The sequence below is a fragment of the Homo sapiens genome, chromosome 3, assembly GCF_000001405.40.
Source record: "Homo sapiens chromosome 3, GRCh38.p14 Primary Assembly".
NCBI lineage: Eukaryota > Metazoa > Chordata > Mammalia > Primates > Hominidae > Homo > Homo sapiens.
In genome coordinates this window covers 130,890,053-130,912,842 of record NC_000003.12, presented here as the reverse complement: position 1 = coordinate 130,912,842, position 22,790 = coordinate 130,890,053, and the positions used below count along the sequence as shown (strand labels likewise).

The 22,790-nt window shown below is 37.6% G+C and overlaps 1 protein-coding gene and 1 long non-coding RNA gene across 22 annotated transcripts in view, besides 3 other annotated features; one reads left to right on the top strand and one right to left on the bottom strand.

Annotated features, from left to right (window-relative positions):
- ATP2C1 (ATPase secretory pathway Ca2+ transporting 1) overlaps positions 1–22,790 on the bottom strand; it is a 166,118-nt gene that overhangs the window by 103,870 nt on the left and 39,458 nt on the right. For 4 of the 21 annotated variants that reach the window (NM_001001486.2, NM_001001487.2, NM_001001485.3 and 1 more), the window contains exons 1-2: positions 18,506–18,759; positions 18,068–18,253 (exon numbers count right to left, since the gene is read on the bottom strand). The exons of 7 other annotated variants lie outside the window; for them this stretch is intronic. In NM_001001486.2, coding sequence (NP_001001486.1) covers positions 18,068–18,073 — 6 coding nt within the window. In that variant the 5' untranslated portion in view covers positions 18,074–18,253; positions 18,506–18,759. Of the gene's footprint in view, positions 1–18,067; positions 18,294–18,505; positions 18,760–22,790 lie in introns of those variants that run through there. 10 more of the 21 variants (NM_001378512.1, NM_001378513.1, NM_001199179.3 and 7 more) reach the window with 4 other exon arrangements.
- Positions 11,609–11,658: an enhancer, noted in NCBI's record as "active region_20526". NCBI's record gives its function as "activates an Ori minimal core promoter by ATAC-STARR-seq in GM12878 lymphoblastoid cells {active_cell/tissue: GM12878}" and the evidence as "EXISTENCE:reporter gene assay evidence [ECO:0000049][PMID:35858748]".
- Positions 18,505–18,894: a silencer, noted in NCBI's record as "silent region_14735". NCBI's record gives its function as "represses an Ori minimal core promoter by ATAC-STARR-seq in GM12878 lymphoblastoid cells {active_cell/tissue: GM12878}" and the evidence as "EXISTENCE:reporter gene assay evidence [ECO:0000049][PMID:35858748]".
- LOC107986023 (uncharacterized) overlaps positions 18,922–22,790 on the top strand; it is a 142,619-nt gene continuing 138,750 nt past the window's right edge. Inside the window, exon 1 of the long non-coding RNA XR_001740492.2 lies at positions 18,922–19,987. This is a non-coding gene — a long non-coding RNA (uncharacterized LOC107986023). The remainder of the gene's footprint in view (positions 19,988–22,790) is intronic.
- Positions 18,985–19,204: an enhancer, noted in NCBI's record as "active region_20525". NCBI's record gives its function as "activates an Ori minimal core promoter by ATAC-STARR-seq in GM12878 lymphoblastoid cells {active_cell/tissue: GM12878}" and the evidence as "EXISTENCE:reporter gene assay evidence [ECO:0000049][PMID:35858748]".

Sequence of the window (22,790 nt, the reverse complement as noted above, 5' to 3'; positions counted from 1 at the left end):
AAGTTTTTGCTATTGTGAATAATGCCGCAATAAACATACATGTGCATGTGTCTTTATAGCAGCATGATTTATAGTCATTTGGGTATATACCCAGTAATGGGATGGCTGGGTCAAATGGTATTTCTAGTTCTAGATCCCTGAGGAATCGCCACACTGACTTCCACAATGGTTGAACTAGTTTACAGTCCCACCAACAGTGTAAAAGTGTTCCTATTTCTCCACATCCTCTCCAGCACCTGTTGTTTCCTGACTTTTTAATGATTGCCATTCTAACTGGTGTGAGATGGTATCTCATTGTGGTTTTGATTTGCATTTCTCTGATGGCCAGTGATGATGAGCATTTTTTCATGTGTTTTTTGGCTGCATAAATGTCTTCTTTTGAGAAGTGTCTGTTCATGTCTTTCGCCCACTTTTTGATGGGGTTGTTTGTTTTTTTCTTGTAAATTGGTTTGAGTTCATTGTAGATTCTGGATATTTGCCCTTTGTCAGATGAGTAGGTTGCGAAAATTTTCTCCCATTTTGTAGGTTTCCTGTTCACTCTGATGGTAGTTTCTTTTGCTGTGCAGAAGCTCTTTAGTTTAATTAGATCCCATTTGTCAATTTTGTCTTTTGTTGCCATTGCTTTTGGTGTTTTGGACATGAAGTCCTTGCCCATGCCTATGTCCTGAATGGTAATGCCTAGGTTTTCTTCTAGGGTTTTTATGGTTTTAGGTCTAACGTTTAAATCTTTAATCCATCTTGAATTGATTTTTGTATAAGGTGTAAGGAAGGGATCCAGTTTCAGCTTTCTACATATGGCTAGCCAGTTTTCCCAGCACCATTTATTAAATAGGGAATCCTTTCCCCATTGCTTGTTTTTCTCAGGTTTGTCAAAGATCAGATAGTTGTAGATATGCGGCGTTATTTCTGAGGGCTCTGTTCTGTTCCATTGATCTATATCTCTGTTATGGTACCAGTACCATGCTGTTTTGGTTACTGTAGCCTTGTAGTATAGTTTGAAGTCAGGTAGTGTGATGCCTCCAGCTTTGTTCTTTTGGCTTAGGATTGACTTGGCGATGCGGGCTCTTTTTTGGTTCCATATGAACTTTAAAGTAGTTTTTTCCAATTCTGTGAAGAAAGTCATCGGTAGCTTGATGGGGATGGCACTGAATCTGTAAATTACCTTGGGCAGTATGGCCATTTTCACAATATTGATTCTTCCTACCCATGAGCATGGAATGTTCTTCCATTTGTTTGTATCCTCAATTTATAGCACTAAATGCCCACAAGAGAAAGCAGGAAAGATCCAAAATTGACACCCTAACATCACAATTAAAAGAACTAGAAAAGCAAGAGCAAACACATTCAAAAGCTAGCAGAAGGCAAGAAATAACTAAAATCAGAGCAGAACTGAAGGAAATAGAGACACAAAAAACCCTTCAAAAAAATCAATGAATCCAGGAGCTGGTTTTTTGAAAGGATCAACAAAATTGATAGACCACTAGCAAGACTAATAAAGAAAAAAAGAGAGAAGAATCAAATAGACACAATAAAAAATGATAAAGGGGATATCACTACCGATCCCACAGAAATACAAACTACCATCAGAGAATACTACAAACACCTCTACGCAAATAAACTAGAAAATCTAGAAGAAATGGATAAATTCCTCAACACATACACGCTCCCAAGACTAAACCAGGAAGAAGTTGAATCTCTGAATAGACCAATAACAGGAGCTGAAATTGTGGCAATAATCAATAGTTTACCAACCAAAAGGAGTCCAGGACCAGATGGATTCACAGCCAAATTCTATCAGAGGTACAAGGAGGAACTGCTACCATTCCTTCTGAAACTATTCCAATCAATAGAAAAAGAGGGAATCCTCCCTAACTCATTTTATGAGGCCAGCATCATTCTGATACCAAAGCCGGGCAGAGACACAACCAAAAAAGAGAATTTTAGACCAATATCCTTGATGAACATTGATGCAAAAATCCTCAATAAAATACTGGCAAAACGAATCCAGCAGCACATCAAAAAGCTTATCCACCATGATCAAGTGGGCTTCATCCCTGGGATGCAAGGCTGGTTCAATATACGCAAATCAATAAATGTAATCCAGCATATAAACAGAGCCAAAGACAAAAACCACATGATTATCTCAATAGATGCAGAAAAAGCCTTTGACAAAATTCAACAACGCTTCATGCTAAAAACTCTCAATAAATTAGGTATTGATGGGACGTATTTCAAAATAATAAGAGCTATCTATGACAAACTCACAGCCAATATCATACTGAATGGGCAAAAACTGGAAGCATTCCCTTTGAAAACTGGCACAAGACAGGGATGCCCTCTCTCACCACTCCTATTCAACAAAGTGTTGGAAGTTCTGGCCAGGGCAATTAGGCAGGAGAAGGAAATAAAGGGTATTCAATTAGGAAAAGAGGAAGTCAAATTGTCCCTGTTTGCAGACGACATGATTGTATATCTAGAAAACCCCATTGTCTCAGCCCAAAATCTCCTTAAGCTGATAAGCAACTTCAGCAAAGTCTCAGGATACAAAATCAATGTACAAAAATCACAAGCATTCTTATACACCAAGAACAGACAAACAGAGAGCCAAATCATGAGTGAACTCCCATTCACAATTGCTTCAAAGAGAATAAAATACCTAGGAATCCAGCTTACAAGGGATGTGAAGGACCTCTTCAAGGAGAACTACAAACCAAAACAAAATTCTAACAAGCTGATTATCAGGCAGAATCAACGAGAAGAGGCAATATACCACCACCTCAACATTTACAAAAGCATACACGTATACTTATGAGAAATAAATGTAAAAACCTACTACTAGCTGGGTGCCGTGGCTCATGCCCGTAATCGCAGCACTTTAAGAGGCCAAGGCAGCAGGATCACTTGCACCCAGGAGTTCAAGACCAACCTGGGCAACATAGTGAGACCCTAACTCTATTGACAATAAATAAATATAAATATAAATATATATATAAAACCTACTACTATACCGAAAAACCAACTACTAACATACCAGATGCTAAGGCTCTACAATAATAATTCAGACAAACACATGGGTTAAGTTGACCTCATACATCATTTAAAGAGCTGTAAAAGCATTCTCAGTGTAAACCTGTTGCTAAAAAGGTAAACATTATCCTAAACTGCATTATGAGAAAGATAGCTTTTTAGTCCAAGCGAGTCAATGAGCCTAGACTATTTCACAACAATCCAACCATACCTTGAGAAGTCTATATTCAGTTTAGGGCATCATTAGAGCCTGCTACCAAGCATGGCATACTATGGTGACATTTCTGGAAATGAGGTCTTAAGATGATCAGTGGAAGGAATTAGGAATATTCGGCCTAGAGAAGTATGAAGGGCAGTACCTGACCATTAATTGGATTTCAATAAAGATTTCTAAATAAAGGATATGACAGGTATCTTCAAATATTTTAAGATATGTTACATGAAACATGACATTCTCCCTAAAGACAGAACCAGCATCAACAGATAAAAAGTTTCCAATCACCAGGAAGTTTCTAGGAGAGATGTTGGTGCCATTTCTATATGGGGTGGGAAATTGGTCCCCTCACCTTAAAAATTCTAGGAATGGTCTGGCAAAATCCAGAGGGATCTCACTGCCTCCTTACTGCCTGTGGTACTAAGGTTTCTGAAAATGTATCAGTAACCTTTGTTAAGGGAGATACTATGAAATGGTTACCTTCTTCACTGAACCTTAAGTTCCAGAGCATGAACCCAAAGAACAGTGGCATAATCAGGCTTCAATGCTCTTAAGTATTCTTAAATATTCTTTGTACTTAAAGAATTAAATATTCTTAAATATTCTTCATTTGATAAATTAAAAACTAGCACAATCACAACTCTTAAAAGATAAATCTTATTTTTCTCCCATACTTACAATATGTAGAAATGAAAAATATGGTTCCAAATACTATTAAATATTTGTACCCAAGAACTAATTCTAATCCATTTTCCACACAGCAATAAAAATCACAATAAAATGCATTTACCTCTGGATACCAACAGGGATTATATACAAAACAATCAAACTGCTCTAGAGACCAACAGATATTATATATAAAACAATCAAACTGACAGAAAAAAACAAATATTTTATTCCTAAAGAGTAGTATTAATTTTAATTTTACTTGCACTACTGAGTCATTCTTAATGATTTTTCAGAAAACAAAAACCTGCTCATTGTTTTAAAAAAAGTCAAGTAATGAGAAAGGATTTAATGAGATTTCCAGTTCTACTGCCCAGAAGTAATCTCTGTTAACTATTTCTGTGTATACTGCCAGCCATTTTCTATACAGGTGTGTATACAAGTATTTCTGGTGTTTTTTTTTTTTAATTTCTAATAGAACCACACAATAACAAATTTTGTCATTCAATACATCTTGGACTCCATGTCACCTTACATACTAACCTGCCTCATTCTTTTCAGTGGCTCACAGGGCATTTCATTGTATGCAGTACTTCAATTTTAACTAGTCCTCTTGATGATATTTAGGCTGACTCCTGTCTTTTGGTATTACAAATGTTGCTGCAGTAAACATCCTGTACAAACTTCTTGGTATATTTGTGCAAGTACAGGTACAGAATACATTTCTGAAAGTGAAACTTTGGTTGTTCATATTTTTTATTCTGATAGCTACTGCTACTGATCTCCAAAGGGACTGTGTCAAAAACTTCAAACTCAGAAGCTTCTATTTTCCCCACAGTCTAGCCAAGACTAGTCATCACTACACTCTAATCTTTGCCAATCTGACAAGTGAAAAATTATAATTTTGTTTTTAATTTGCATTTCTTCATGACTGAGGTTGAACATCTTTTCATGTACCTTTTGGCCTTCTATTTCTGTGAAATGCTTGTTACCTAGAATAAGGTCACACCCAAACATAGTACTCAAAAAGTCTTATGTTTGTACCTAAGTAAGAATATTATATTCTCAAAGTAAAGGACAATTCAAGGCAATGCTTATGAAAATTCCAACTGCCTTTTTAACAGAAATGGACAAACTGATTCTAAAATTCATATGGAAATGCAAGGGATCCAGAATAGACAAAACAATCTGAAAAAAAAAAAAAAGAAAGGCAGACACTGTTAAAGGTCTCACACTTCCAGTTTCAAAATTAACTTACTACAAAACCTACAGTAATCAAAACATTATGGTACTTACATCAGCAAAGACATATAAACCAACAGAATAGAATTCAGAGTCTAGAAATAAACCCATAATTTCTGGTCAATTGATTTTTGACAAGGGTGCCAAGACATTCAATGGAAAAAGAATAGTCTTTTTAACAAACAGTATTGGGATAACTGGATATTCTATGCAAAAGAATGAAGGTGGGCCCTTATGTCACATCATATGCAAAAATGAACTCAAAATGGATCAAGCGTGAGAGTTAAACTATAAAATTCTTATAATCTTCATCACATTGAATCAGGCAATGGTTTCCTAGATATATAAAGCACAAACAATAAAAGAAACACATATATAAATTGGACTTCATCACAATTTTAAAAGTTTCTGATGTAGAGGATACCATTCAGAAAGTGAACAGGTAATCCACAGAATGGGAGAAATATTTACAAACCATATCTCTGATAATTATCTTATAAACATTGCTGCAGTGAACACTCTTAGGTAAACATCTTTGTATACTGGTACAAGTATAGAATATATTCCTATCCAGTATCCAGAATAAACGTATGTGTGTGTGTGTGTGTGTGTGTACACACATATATATAAAGAACTCTTACAACTCAACAAAAAAGTAAATAACCAAATTACAAAATGGTCAAAAGATTTGAATAGACATTTCTCCAAAGATATACAAATAACCAATAAGCACATCACACTTCCTAGTTGCAAAACTAACTTATCGCAAAATCTACAGTAACCAAAACATTGTGGTACTTGGATCTGCAAAGACTTATAAACCAACAGATTAGAAGTCAGAGTGCAGAAATGATTTTTGCATATGCTGTGAGATAAGAGTCCACCTTCATTCTTTTGCATGAAGAATCCATGCAAAAGATCCTTGACACATCATTAGTCATTTGGGAAACGCAAATCAAAACTACAATGTGAAACCACTTCATACCCCCTAGGATGCAATGGAAAAAAAAAAAAAAAACAGCAAAATGTTGGAGAGGATGTGGAGAAATTAATTAAAAGAAAGCCTCATACACTGCTAGTGGGAATGAAAAAATGGTTCAACCACTATGGCAGTTACTCAATAAATTAAAGATAGAATTACCATGACCCAGCACTTCTACTCCTAAGTATACACCTGAAAAAACTGAAAACATGTTTACACAAAAACCCATACATGAATGCTCACAATAGTGTTATTTTTTGACAAAAAGTAGAAACTGATGAATAAACAAAATGTGTATATCCATACAATGGAATATTATTTCATCGCAAAAAGAAATGAAGTACTAACACGTGCTAGAAGCCAGACATAAAAGGTCACATATTGTATGATTCAATTTATATGAAATACCCAGAACAGGCAAATCCATAAAGACAAAGTAGATTAGTGGTTACCAGGGGCTAGCGAAAGGGGAGAATGGGAAGTGACTGCTAATGGGTAAGGGGTTTCTTTCTGGGGTGATAAAAATGTTCTAGAATTATATCAATATACAATTTTGTGACTATACTAAAAACCACTGAATTATACACTTTAAAATGACAAATTTTGTGGTAAGTGATTCTATCTTGAAAAAGAAAAACCCAGTAAAGGACAGGGTCTACAAAATACTTCATGATTTACCACAGCTATGAGAGAATTAGTATTCATACTGTAGGTGGCTCCGGGTCTAAAACTGTGCATACAGAACAAATAAGATTTAGTCGATGGGCATGATTTCAAGCACTGACAGTTATGGGGCCACAGCTGATATCAATTCCCAAGTGTAAACGATGTAGAAATGAGAGCTGAAACTAAGGAACCAGGCAAGCAAGCCCAAGAGAATGATTGCCAAAGCACATGTCCTTTAACTGCTGTCTGGCAAAGCAATTACAGCTGTACCCAACCTTAAGCAAATCCAGTCCTTTTAAGAACACATCTTTATCATAAATAAATGGGAGAGGGATACTGTGCTATGATGAAACAGGATGTAGGAGGAACTTAAAACAGCATACAAACAATAACAAGTGAACCTAATTTTATTACAAGTGACTAACATAACCCTTAGGCAGGGATGAAAAGAACCCAAGTAACTTCTGAAAACAGAATTTGCCTGTATACCATAAAGTTAAAGACAAATATTGTACTCTAGTTTAAAACTGTGTTTCTCACCAGGGAATGAATAGGTCACTAATTCTAAAACTACTTTTGTTTGTGTGTACTCGGATGAAACAAGTAAGTCAATATACTGTGGTTGAGAACAGTTTCTCACCTTTGGAGAAGGAAGTAACAAAGAAAGAGAAAAGGGCTGAACAGGAAAAAAGACCAAAATGGACCCTATGGTGGAAGAACAGAACTGGCAGCATCACTGGCAGTTTTTTATTTATATACATAGATGGATAGATAAGAAAATAAAAACATATGTGTTCATACATGTTACCAAACATATACACTGCTAGCTCTATCTACTAAGAGAGCCTAGAAGCAATGACACCCAGTAGCATGGAGCACACCTGGCACCCAGATCTTGGTTTCTAGATATCATTCTCTAGTAAAATGAACTCAGCTCCCTGGAAAAATGGTTGATTCCATGGCTGGTGCAAGCAGGAAAAATACAAGATACACCCAGAACATCATGTGATACCAGAAAGTAAATTAGTGCTCACAAAATGAGAGAGGGTATTGTAGAAAAGACACAGGAACAAATTTTCAAGTGCCCTCAATAACCAAAGCGAGAATGACTTGAGCAACAATTACTGGATTTTAACCCATAAGGCAAAATATCCACAAAGCCATGTAAATAAATTAATTGGATAATTAATAAGTAAAGAGGACAGTACTTCCTTAATTGTAGAATTCCAAATATAGTAAGAATGAGTGAAATAGAAAACTCGCCATTAAGCAAAGACCAAAGCAGTAATAACTGCTGCCAGTTAAGAACCATTGATAGATAGCAAAACTTGCCCATGTAAAGTATGATGGAACACAGGATATTGCAAAACTGGCCCATGATAAGTATGATGGGACACAGTATATTTGCAGTACCTCCCCACTAGAGGAAGGTATTAATTACAAAGGAATTACTAATTATTATACAACTACAAGGTTAAAATGAACATTTATTATTACAAAGGAAAAAGCAGTAACTTTACAATGAAGAAATCTGGCAGACACAGCCTTAACCAAGTGATCACATTAACTTCACCCATCATAAGACATGCTAATCACGGGTGAAGATCTGACAACCCCATATTGAGAAACATTCTAAAAAATAACTAACAGTACTCTTCAAAAGTGTCAGTAACATTTATAAAAGATGAGAGAAAAAAAAGACTGAAAAGCTTAACAGATGGGAGGAGACTAACATGATGATAACTAAATGCAAGGTAGGATCCCAAATTGGATCCTGAACTAGAAAAAGGATAGTTTATAAATGTGAATGTCCTGGTTTTAATAATTATACTATGGTTATATAAGATGTTAACATTAGGAGTAACTGGGCAAAAGATATCCAGGACCTCTTTGTACTATTTTTATACCTTTTATGTAAGTCTAAAGTTATTTCAAATTTTAAAAATCAACATAATTTTAGAAGATTTTAGAAAAACCTCTCAAAGTAAAGTAAATCTTTCTACCATAATTGAATTTGCATCCAACAGTTAACTACATCTGAATTATACTGCCACTCTGGGAAGAATTTGGCATTTTTTGATCATTAAATTAAAAAGTGGGCATAATACTCCATCTACTGATACATCTGTTTGTATAAATTATTCTAGGTTTGAAAGAAATTTGGTACAAGGATGGAGGAAAGGGGTATCATACCATCTACATATTTTTTAAACCCGTCCATTTTGTTGCCATCCTATATTAAGCATGCAACCAGTGTTTTTTAAAGCCTTCAGTGAGCAACAATTATTTTACTAGCAATACAGAAGATGGAAAGGAAAGGAAAGGAAAGGAAAGGAAAGGAAAGGGGAAAGGGGAAATGGGAAAGGGGAAAGAGGAAAAAGGAAAGGAAAGGGGGGAGGAAGGGGCAGAAGGAAAGAAGGGAGGGAGGGAGAGAAAGAAAGAAAGTTTTTTTAGATTCCTTTATACCTTCTCCTAATACCTCCCCCACCATGACCAATGACATTCATTTCATAAAGCAGCTAACTGGTGAACCTAATTTTACAGGCTATGACAAACCAAACCCTTATGAAAAGACATTATGGTGGCATTCTTAACACCCTGTGCTTCCAGACCTAAATAACTACAGGTACAATGGGGAGCCACGTAAGCCTTTAAAAGCAGTTGACAGTCAAATACAATTTAATATCATTTAAAGCTACCAACTTTGAATCCTATAGGGTTAAGTTAACCGATAATTTATTTGCTGTCACAAAATGTACTCTGTTATTATTTTCCATGTTTAAGTGGTGTTCCTCAAAAGCTAATTTTTCTAACCAACTAATTAATGAATGGAATATTTAAATAATCTTAGTTTAAGATGAAAAACAGGCAGGTTATTTCTAAATTCCACCTGCAATTAATAAAACGTACATTAGTAAGTCCAATACATAGTTTACCGAACTCAAGGACTTTTACCTACAGTAATTCCATTCTATAGATGGAGAAAATAATGTATAGTAAGAGTAAACCGGTTTTTTTCCTAAAAGGAAAGAAATAGCAGCAAAGAATTCCAGTGACTCCCTAAAAATGAGAATGCCACACAACTATGTACATGTAAGGAGACTTTAAACACTGAGGCTATGACTGGAATAGATCACTAAGGGATTGGTATTAGAGATGAAAATATCGGTGGTCCTGTCCCTAACACCACTGAAACATTCAACACCTTACAAAATAAAGGGAATATTCAACACCTTACAAAATAAAGTAAAAAGACACCCGACAAGCAAAAGAAAGCCACCTAATGAAGACCCTAAAAAGGAAATCTAAGGAAGAGTTCTGACTTCGGGGGGGGTCTAGTTAGAATAAATGGATAAAAAGGAAAAAGGCAATAGACATAGGAGGTCTAGCATTTTCCATGAGAAATAAAATTCAGTACATTTTGGTCTTGATTTCAAAGAATAGTAAAATTGCTTCCAAACAATAACAGTTCTGTGAGCAATAAATAATACATAAAATGTATTTACAGGCTAAAAAGTAAAATTTAAGGGCTTAACTTCATTGATCTACACTAAGGGTTTAACTTCATTGTCTACTGCTAGGTGAACACTAAATACTGAATCCTGAAATAGTACAAACCCAAACCAAAGTATAATCAAAATCATAATTTGATAAAACCATGAGAAAAGCATTAAGATTATAAAAGCTACTCTATGTTTCCTAGGCATCCCACTCACCTCTCAGAAAAAAAAAAAAAAAAAAAAAAAAACAAAAAAAAAAAACGTGAAGCCTTGAAATTAGCAGTTAAAAGACCAAAAGTAACTCCCCTAAATCTATTCATCAAGTAAGGTAAGGGAAATTAGGATTTGCTGAGAGGCTCTTTCATGCCAGGCACTTGTACACACCCTGCCTGGTCTAATTCTAACAAACCTGAAGTAGTCATAATCTCTTTACAAGTGAGGAAACCAAGGCTTAGAGGAGTCAACTTCCTTGCCGTTTGTTAGAACAGTGTTTCTCAATCTTGGCACCATTGACATCTGGGGCTAAAAAATTTTGAGGGTGGCGGGGGGAGGTAGAAGATGCTGTCTTACGGATTGTAGCATGCTTACCAGCATCCCTGGTCTCTACACACTGGATGCCAGTAGCATACTTTGAGTTGTGACAACCCAGCATTTCTCTAAACATTGCCAAATGTCCCCCGGGGGCAAAACAATCCTGAGATGAGAACCACTTAGAAGGAAGAAGCCAGCATTTTCATTCAATTGACAGTAGGTACGTCCCAGAGTCTGTTCAAGATGAATAAAGGACAAATTGAGGTCTCTGCCTTCAAGAGCTCACTTTGAATCCTGGTGCTTGATTTAACACCTCTCTCCATGCATAGCTATATGAGCCTCACATCATGACAGTCTGACCTATATATTCCCTTCAGCCAGCCCCTAAATCGGCTCACTCCTTCAACCACAATCAATGGCACCTTCACTGACCCAAATGACATCTTGCAGTCATGTCTGATTCAACTATTCCCTTAATTCTCTGTATCTAGTCACTGTCCAAGTCCTGCTGATTTTTCCTAGGAGTAAAATATCTCTGTCATCCATCCCTACCCTTCATTCCCATTACTCTAATATAGATACAAACCACACTCCCTTTATCTTCTAACAGATGAAATCAGGAGTAACTAATCTCTCTTGGCCCCTCATATGAATTAGGGGTACATATCAAGATATAATAACTGATCTACCAACTTTTAGGATAGAGGGCTGGCAGACTTCAGAGCAGTCCCCAATGACCACATCTTTCTCTGGGGTGGGGAGGGATGCTGGAATTTCTCATCTGATACTAGTTTCATAAGCCAAATATTAACTCTTAAGTAAACAGTAACCCTCACAAGCATTAAGAAAAGGACACAGCAGAAATTAGTTTGCATACCACTACAAAGTGGTTTGCATGCTATTTCTGGCATTTGTGCCATGAACTGCTTTTGCCTGCTTCAAAAGAAGGTAGAACTGACACTCAACAGAGCAAGTAAGGTACAACTCCCAAGCTTAATTAAGCCAACTAATATTTCCACCCCTGATGATGTAGAAACCTAGATGAAGGCAGGTAAAGCAAACATGCTGCTAGGGAAACACTAAAAATAGATGGCCAAACAAAATCTAGTGAAATGCCTGCATACAAAGAGAGATATAAATCTCATATATAACATATACAAATAAAATCACAGCATCAAAAGGCTAATTTATTTATACTACAAATGAAAAAGGCTCCGATTTAAGATGAGAGGAAATCCAGGACCTGGTTCAAAGTTGGATCTTGCCCTTAGGCAGAGAATAACAGAACGTTTATGTACTAATGTACTAATGCTCTATTCTTTTTAACTTCAGGACACCATAACCAAGATAAATTTCTGAAATTCACAACTTAACCAAAACTTTTAATTTTTACTTTGCGTGTTTAAATTTTCAAAAAAACACATTTACATATTCAAAAAAAAAGTCTGATGAGTGACATCCTAAATATTTCCACTTATTATTTCTGAGTTTTCCTATAAAAGGCTGATGGCAAATATATTTATTATTTAGGGTCCTGCTTTTTCCAACTTTATCAAGCTGTTTTAAGTAAGTAAATAAATAAATGAAAGTAATTTCTATAAGGATGCATCAATATCTCAAAGCTTTCTAAAAGAATAAAGAATGTCATACTAAAGCTGGGCACGGTGGCTCATGCCTATAATTCCAACAATTTGGGAGGCCAAGGCAATAAGACTGCTTGAGTCCAGGAGTTCAAGACCAGCATGGGCAATATATCAAGACCTCGTCTTTAAAAAAATTAAGAAATTAGCTGGGTATAGTGATGTGTGCTTATAATCCCAGCTACTCAGGAGGCTAAGGCAGGGAGATCGCATTAGTCCAGGAGTTAGGGGCTTTGGTGAGCTATAATGATGCTACTGTGTCCCAGCCCAGCCTGGGTTACAGAGTGAGACTCCATCTCAAAAAAATAAATAAATAAATAAGCACAAAGGGAAAAAAAAGGATGTCATACTAAATTAACGTATTTCCTTCTGAGGGAGGGACACGAGTTTAGGTCAGCATGTTTACGAAATGACCAAATGTCAAACCAAAAGGCCTTTACTTAAGAAAGCAATTACAACTAACAGGTATATTAAATAATTCCAATTCACACATTCTCTAATACCTATAGCAGAATTAAAAAAAGCAGAGATAGAAATTGAATCAGACACCCAGTTACGGCCATCTTAAGATAATGCTTCTGACCCCGACTATTACTGTCTTCTGTCTATAATCTAGGACAGCTTTTCAACATTTCATTCAAACTTTTTCTAAACACATCACAGGTTTAGTCTAAACCAACCTAATTTAACACAATTGGTGTAATTTATTTGTAATTCTACGATTTATACTTTTGTCGTAGCAACTTAAAGCCTGAAGACAGAAGATACACAGTTGACTCTTTAACAACATGAGTTTCAACTGTAAAGGTCTACTTATACTCAGATTTGCTTCTGTCACCCGAGACAGCAAGACCAACCCCTCCTTTTCTTCAGCCTACTCAAAGCGAAGACAATGAGGATGAAGACCTTTATAGTGATCCACTTCTGCTTAATGAATTATAAATATATTTTCTCCTCCTCATAATTTTCTTGGTAAGTTTTTTTCTCTACTTTATTGCAAGAATACAGTATATAATACATATAGCATACAAAGTATGTGTTAATTGACTGTTTATGTTATCAGTGAGGCTTCCAGGCAACAGTAGAGACTATTAGTAGTTTAGTTTTCAGAGAGTTAAAAGTTACATGCAGATTTTCAACTGCATGGTGGGTCAGCACCCCAACCCCCACATTGTTCAAGGGTCAACTGTATTAACAAATGCATATAAGTAGCAGTCATATACATCCAAGAGGAAATTATCAATTTAGCCTTTTTTTTGAGAGATCCTTTCTTTCATGAAATGATGGCATTAACCTCAGGATGCACCCTTTACTGCCTTTTACCAACATTTGTCTACATGAAAAGCATAAAGATAACCTTGTCACAACTGATGCCTGAAACCATTATTAAAAAGAATTTGTTTCAACAAAGTAAATGTGAGGGGACCTCTTGAACTGATCCTTAAGATATTTTAAGATGCTACATGTAACAACGGTGTAATTTAAAATTCATGCTAACTTTACCATCAAGCCACAGTGTTCCTGGCACCTTTAAAACAAAATTTAACCTTGCAAAACAGATCATGGCTAACTAAGATCTCCAAAATCAGTCCTGGGCCCCTAGGGGTGTGTTCCCTAGGAAACTATTTTGTTTCATAATGCTTTGCGTTAACAGACCTGAATTCTGCTGACTTTAAATGAATGACAAAAATATGAAGACAAATCAAGTATTTGGAATCCAACTGTCAGAAGGTTATTGCATACAAGTACTCTCTACAGCATCCTCTGGCTTAAATTACTACAGTTTACAAAATGTCATATATATAATCTCTTTTAGTTTCAACTCTTTTTCAGAGTACTAATTAAGACTATCATTTTATGGACAAAACTGCAAACAACATAAACTATATTTCCCACACCCAAAGATATATTTTTATAACCTGGTTTCCTATTTTCAGTTAAAGGAATAAAATTAAGGTGGCTTCTCATCCCTTTTTCCCTATAGCTTCTCCAACTATAGTAATGCAATTTTTTCTTGAGACATTCCTAGCTGATTAACAATTTGAAATTGAATTAAGAAACTGCTTTTAAAAGTAAAGTGTAAATACAACCATTTTCAAACAAAAAAGATTGGGGCATTGTTCTCTACACCTATTAGCTCTGTCTATAATCTTAAATTAACCATGTCCTGAAATCCTGAAGACTATTACATTTCTATCCACTAGTCAAACATTTAAGGCTATATTAAAGTTTCATGTGTATTAAAGTCACACTGAATTTTCTATGGGAAAGGCCAAATTTATTCCAAAAAATAAATCCATTACTAGAAAGGAAAACCTATGTGCAAGCTTCTCCAGCTAGACATATCTTTTCTAGTAAGCTATCACTTTAAACATGCAATTAACTTTTAAAAATCAGGTAAGAGCTGTTTACTTGTGCATCTCAAGATGCCTAAGCGGGATCTGTTTAGATTTGTGATAAACATGTAAAAACAAATTCCAAAGGATCTGGATAAAATCCTAACTCACGACTGAATGTTAAGTAGTCCAAAAATTCCAGGAAATTAACATTTTAAACGTTCCTAGTGACAAGCAGAAAGTGTTCATGAAACATCCTGGAGTCTACAGCTAAAAATTGGTCAAGCTTTGCTGAGAAAGTTTAAATGGGCCCTAGGAAAAAAGTCCAGAAGAATCTAAACCGAAGTGCCAAAGAAAATACCACCATTGCTGAAGGAACCAACACATGGATGAAACCATTTCCTCCCCACACCACTGTAAGCTACCTAAGAAACCTTCATGCTGATGCTCTAGGGAAACACTATCAATTCTACACTGTTCACACCCACAAATGTAACTACCTGCATACCTACTGGAGGATACTCTTACTAGGGAACAGCAGCATCACTCAATTCATCCAAGTTAACTGTATGTCAAACATTGCTCTGGCGGCTTCATTTATTACTCACATCAACTTTGCAAGAGGGCATTATCTCATTTACAGATGAGATAACTTAGAGGCTGAGAAAGCTTAGAAGCCTAGTAACTTGTCAGATTTTTCAGGAGAGGAAAACATTACTTGTCGGGCTTCAAATCCAAACCTGTCTCTTTCTGTACTGGACCCTGGCTTCTTGGTAGAGCCCTAACTTTTTCTGTAGGCTTAAAAGCACTAATGCCATAGAAAATTCCTTACCTAACTCCACTTATCCCTCAACTAACAATGACAACTTCATTTTGAGCATTTGGCTACTACTGTTCCCCCTTCCAACATTTAACTGTCATGACAATATTAATGCCAGGTGGCCTATTAGTATGTATCAAACATTCAGCTAGGCAATTTATAATTAACATTTACCGAGCACTTACTATGTGCCAGATACTGTTTGAATGTTTACAACAACCTCATAAGGTAGGTTCTATCATTATCTTTATTTTATGAAGAAACGGAAGCACAGAAAACTTTAATATGCACAAAGCCAAATGGTAAGCGACGAATCCAGCATTCAAATCAGTCTGCATGGTTCCACCACAACTCAAGCTCTTAAACGTTATCATTCCTACCTCACAAGAGAATTTATACAGGGTTTCTCATTTAATCCTCTCAATTCTGTGAGTTAAAGATTATCAATCCCAATTTATAGATGAAGAAATACAGGCTCAGAAAGGTGACGTAATTTACTTAAAATCACACAGCTTTAAGTGGTTCAAGACAAGTTAGTCAAGACTTGAATCCATTTTTGTTTCACACCTCCAAATTGTTAATACTACACTATATCAAAGAAGGATGAAAACTACAAAAAGGCAAGTGAACAATAAAAAGGCACAGGTATCAATCTATGTAGTTTAATATGGTCAGTCACTTTTGAAAATTTCTAGGCTATATACAGGCTCTTCTTCAAACTGTTTATATATAAAAAAAAATGTGACGATAGGGAGAAACTGACAAAAATGGTCTCTTGATGGTCAAGAATAACGGGACAGAAAACCCCACACGTTTTTAAGAACTGTATAATCTTTTACTATGAAACCACAAAATTCATATTTGGCCACAAAATACAGAGACAGACACAAGTAGGCACCATTCTCCTATCTCACAACCACCCCCTCCCACCTCAGTAGATAATGAGAATCGGCTTTATTACTCATGCTCTTCCTCCTGAGAGATCAAGAAACAAAAGCAACATGAAAGAATCCACCTACTTTAGGCTACCCTCTTAAATCTGGTACCATTCTGAAAACAAGCTCATAAACATACATTAAATGTTAGAAGTTATTTAAGATGTTTCTACCAAGAAACAAGTATATGAATGCATTTAACATTCTTTGTCTCATGTGCAGAATGGATTTGCCTTTCTTAAATCAATAAACTTAAAAGAGAGGAAAAAGGCTCAGAAAAGTGACTTTCCTTATCACCAAAAACATCACTGCTTTCAAATGTTTCTCAAGACCCAATTAGACAGTATAACTCCTCTGCAGTTATACACTTTAGTATTTCAGAAAATGTCTTCCGCCAATTATCCATCCAGAGTAAAATTTGTCAATATAATCATGCCTCTCATCATATTCCCTACATAGCCCAGAGGTCTCAGAGAGCAAAACACATTACTGCATCTATAAGAAACACCCATTTCAAAATTACTAGTCCTAGTCAGACAATCAAGCTTACATTCTCAACAATGGAAAAACAAATTAGAAGCAGCCAGCAAGACTGCAGCTCCTTTATACCAGACACATATTTTTTAAAACAAATTATACCAGAGGAAAAAACTGTCATTTGTTAAGTATCTTTTATAGTATTTTGCAGCCCGGTTAAAGGCAGAAGAAAAAAAAATGATCACGCACAAGTCAGAAGTCAGTCCAAAGAATAAGTGTTGTTTCAGGAGGGGGAAAAAAAATCACTTATTCACAGTTGTTCAACAATTTTAAAAATAATCAGTGCTGTGTAGGAAAAGCATTAAATATTTTAACGAGGCCAAAGGGATCATGTAACATGTGAATGACGATCTAATGTGTCCAAAGTGTACAGTGAACAAACAGGTTCCGCTGTCAGCCTCCTAAATGATGTTTTGAAATAGGGTGGAACTTTAAGAAAAGCACTCATCTCATAACATTTCATTAAATTCACTGGGTTTTTTTTGTGAATTGAAAAATAATGAGTTTTTTCCCCAATGCTAGACATAATAAAACATGGCTTGCTTTCTTATAAATGAATCCTGCCACACACCACATCGAGGCTTGAAACGCCAATATACAGAGATGCAGCCCCATCCCCTTGTCCCCCATTTCCACTTCCCCTCGAGTAATTCCTTTCAAATAGCTATTTAAACATGCACAGACGCTATCTGAAATGAAAACTTCCCTCTCATTCCCTAAGCTGAAGAGAGCAGGAATTCCTCAAGAAAGCTGAATCAAGCTCAGTCACCCACAGAACCTCAATCTCTCAAATGCCCCATGTTACCAAAATAAAAGCTGGATACCCTAAGTAAGCAAATCCTTGGACACTTCACATACACAGTAAATAAATAAGCTCACGAAAATAAAAAGGTGGAAAAACAAAGACAACTTAAAAGCAAACCACCACACCCTCAACTCCGCGTTGCAACCGGTCGGCCAGGGGCCTTTACCTTCATTTTCCATCGAAACTGCACTCGGGTTGATGGCTACAAAGTCTTTAGTGTCAGCCACGGCCACACTGGGAATAGAGAGGAGAGGAGGAGGACAAGGAAGAGAAGCCCCCGGAATCCCAGGCTGTCACCCCCGCTCCCGGCCACGCGTCCCACGGCTGCTCCCACCACCCCTAGCAGCAGCATCTGCAAGAGAAACCAGGAGAAGCGGCGCTGACGAGAGGCTGAGGAAGGAGTTCCCCGCCCAGCCACTATCTCGGGAGCCCCCCTCCCCAAGATCCCGCACCCGCCCCGTCGTGTGCCCGCAACGTCCCCAGCTCACGCCAGCGGGGCGGCGCCCTAGAGATGCCCCCCCATCCAGGGGATACCCGAACCTCCCCTTCCTTCAGAACCTGGAAGTTTCTAGAAATGGGGGCAGGAGGTAATACTGGTACCCACCCAAAGCCCCGGACAGCCCTCCTCCAGGCTGCGGGGTCTCAGCCGCGGGGCTCGCGGGGGCGCCCCGCGCGCCTCGGGAGAAGAGGAGCTGCTCGCGGGGCAGCGGTGCGAGGCGGGAGCCTGCTCCCGGCGTGAGAAGAAGCGAGCGGGAGGGAGGAAGGGAGGGAGAGAGGGCGGGCGGGGAGGGGAGAGAAGAGGAGGTGAGGGGACCCGTCACGGTCCGCCGGGCCGGCTCCGCGAGGCCGTGCTGGTCTGCTCCCGCCTCCGACTCCTGCGCTCCGCCCCTCCCCGCCGCCGGCCGCCCAGTCGCGCCCCGCACTCCTGGGCCAGCCGCGAACCCAGCTTTGTCACTATTACTTCCGCTGAGAGAGGTGCGCGCAGGCGCATTCGTGTTCACGGGCTGGGAAGGCGGAAGTGAAGTGAAGGCCGAGACTTCGGCCCGGAATGGACAATGTTTGGGTTTGGATCCGTCCGGTAGGAGGTCGCTCGGGGTTGGTGGCCCGCCTTGTTCTTGCTGGCGCCTCCCTTACCCCAGGGACGGTGTCCGCCCGTTTATATGCACCCCCTGAACGCGAGGGTCGGAGATTCGCCCACGCCCCGTGTCGGCCACGCATTCCCGTGGGGCGGCCGCGGGGTCGGCCCAAGCTGAGAGTCATGGCCGCTGTCCCCGAGGCGTTTAAGCGCTCTCTACAAAGTCTGTAGGGGAAGCTGCTCCCGTCGGGGTGGCAGTCACAATCTCAGCAGGCAACGTTGAGGCCCACGGAAGGAAGGGGCGAGGTGTCCATGCTCCTGCCAGGGACTGGAGCACCGTGAGCAGCCTCCCGAGTCTCGCACTCTCACTTGCAAAACCCTGCACTGACTGCTTGGTTCTTGGGGGAGCCGGTAATCGCGGGGCGACTTCCCAAAATTCTTTAAGGGGTGTGCTTAGTTACCATGTGTAATGAGAGAGCAAGGTTCAGCCTCAGAGAGCTCCAGGGAGAGCTAATCTTTTTCATTCGTTTGTGGTATATGGAACTGGGGAGAGGCTGGAACAGCAATTAGAAACCAGTCGTACAGCTGTCGAAGCCAATGAACGAGCACTTCTTTTAGCAGCTGTACCTTTGTCCAGTGTCAATGCCTTTTCACACGTAAACATTTCACTTGCTCGGCATCTTACCCAGACCCCTAATAAGTGCTTTTTAATGAACGATTGGTTTTAATAAACCGTGGTGAGCCAGACATATAATGTTGAACAGAAGTCCTCTCACACCCATAACCACTAGAGGGCAGGGCTTCACCTACTGAGTTGGTGATCATCCTACAGAGAACTCAAAAGAAAATTTCCGTATATGCTAGATGTGTTTTTCTCCATCAACACTTAGACACTTTACAAATTTGCTTTTTATCTCAGGTCCTGTAACATATCGCAGTGTGCTCTCTAACCACACGTTCAACATCAGAATTAACGGACGGGGTTGCCTGTGTTTCTATATTTGTTCCCAAGTAAGTGGTACTAGACTAGGATTGAAAATTCTGGACAGCTTTCTAGATTTACCTTTCTTTTAAGAAATATTGAACTTTTATTCAGCGAGGTCACTTTTAAAGATGAACCCATAAAAATCACTATCAAGTAGATTTCTAGTCTTAACGAGTTAACTATGATCCACCTCTGGCATGCATGGTCAGTGATTTTTGTCTGCACAATGACGGAGCCAAATTAACGGACGGGGTTGCCTGTGCTTCTATATTTGTTCCCAAGTAAGTGGTACTAGACTAGGATCGAAAATTCTGGACGGTTTTTAGATTTACCTTTCTTTTAAGAAATATTGAACTTTTATTCAGCGAGGTCACTTTTAAAGATGAACCCATAAAAATATCAAGTAGATTTCTAGTCTTAGGAGTTACTATTTATGATCCACCTCTGGCATGCATGGTCAGTGATTTTTGTCTACACAATGACATAGCCTGTGATTTGTACAATGATTGTGATCTCTCGTAATCAATTTGTAACAGTTATTACTGTACATATTCGACCTTGAAACAGCATTATATTAAAAACAAAAGCACCTAAGGTAGGAAATTACACAATATAAATACTTTGATATTAACATATGCATTTACAAAATAGAGGGTAACTGTACAGAATTTGGTATTGGGTCACTTTAGCTGAAACATTTTTCTAAAGCAACTTTTCAGAACTATCTGTTGTATTAATATACTGCAATACTCTAGCATTAACACTGAATCTATAACTCCTCCAAAAGATTTATAGCTCCATGGTTTATTCCTAAAATGACTTAAACTGAAATTTTACTTTTGGTCCCCTAAATTATGAAAATCATTGTTCCTATTACTAAGCCAAAAAAGAAACTGGTAAGATCAAGATCAACTTTACCAAGAAGAATTGACCAATTAGTCATTTTATATAAAAAACTTAAGCATCTGGAAATTTTGGTGTCTGAGGGGGTTCTGGAACCGATCCCCTGTGGACAATGAGGGATGACTATATACATATATATGTCATACACACACATATGTATATGTATAGACAAACATATACACATATATATGTATATTCATACACCCACATATACATACACACTAGCCTTCTTTCAAAAGATTTTTGTAAGAATCTCATAAAGTAAGTGAACACAGGTTGCAAATTATAAGCACTATAGAAGTATAAGATTATTATAGAGAGAATCAAGGAAATCCCTGGAGTGTTAGCTAGCTACAATGGGATTGATGGCAATGAAACATATTATTTCCAAGTTTCAGCTTATTGCTTCCATAGAAATCAAAGCTCTAAAAATTCTTTCTACTCTCCTTTTGTCCTGAATATTTAACCTACAAAATTAAATGCATCTGATGCAAAAAGTGGTCACGTGCAAGAAAGGGAAATTTGTCAGGCTTTTCCGCTTGGGGGAAATATTACAAATGGGAAAGATTGAAGAAGAATGGTCATGACATTCTAATTTTCTTTATACTGTGCTTTATTCCACAAAGGGTGTGCGGTATCTTGTTTTTAATATCAAATTTGATAGCTGCATTTTTATAAACCTGGATGGTACAAGAATATGTGGTTCTTTAGGGATTTAAAAATTAAAACTTGGAAAAAATTATTTTAAAATCTTTCCTCAATTAATTAATGTCTTCTTTTAAAGGCTGTTTTAATGTTGTTTAAAGTACCAGAGGTTAATAGTTAAGAAATTTCACCTAGCTGCTAGAAAAGAAATTGTAATTTTATTTTAAGTTGAACATTTTATTTATTTACTTACTAACTTAAGAGACAGAGTCTCTGTCGCTGAGGCTGGAGTGCAATGATGCCATCATAGCACACTGCAGTCTTGAACTCCTAGGCTCAAGAGATCCTCTTGCCTCGGCCTACCAATGTGCTTGGGATTAGAGGCATGAACCACCATGCCTGGCAAAGTTGGACACGTTAAAAACATATAAAGATGCATCACTTTATTTTTATAAGCTAACCTACTCCAACAGAACAACAGAAGTATTTTTCTTCTTATAAGATAAAGGACATGCTAAATGTCAAGTTTAGAAAACTATAGTTTTATTGCCAAGAGTGTTGTACGAAATCAGTTCCTAACAAACATCTACCAGAATTGCTATAAATCTGCCTAGTTCCATGTTTTGGCAGTGCTGGAAGATTAAAAGTTGGAAGCAAGAATAAAAATTGAAGGACTCATATGAGCTACTTGTGTTTGGTTGGTTTTAATAGCACCCAGATCCAGATCCCCAAGTACTCTACAAATATTTTATCACTCACAAAATTCCATAGCCTCTTTCACACTTGCTAGCATTTTAAACATGAAATATTTGATGAAACTGAGATGAAATGAGAGAACTTATACTCTTAATTTTTATTGTTAAAGAAGTTTATTTCAAGTATGACATAGTCTCTCCATTCATTGGCTCAGATTCTGAGCCAGTGGTAATATTTGGGATCTTATATACTACCAGTCTTCTGGATTAGACATGAGTGTCGATGGGATGCATGTGAAAATAAGAAAGAGGTAAGAGCAAAGTGAGTGTGAGTCCCATGACCCAAGAGTACCATGACCAATGAACTTCATCATTTCCATGGAAAACAGACATACAATATTCCAAATTATATAAACTACAGGATTTGTTTTGAGATACAAAGGTATCCATTTAAATGATAATATTCCACCTAGTTTCCAAACTAGCATAATTCACCTCTGGCCCCAAAACATTTGACAGCAGTAAATATGTAATAAAGACCTATTAAATAAATGGATAGCCTGAAAAATGTTTATCATAAATATTT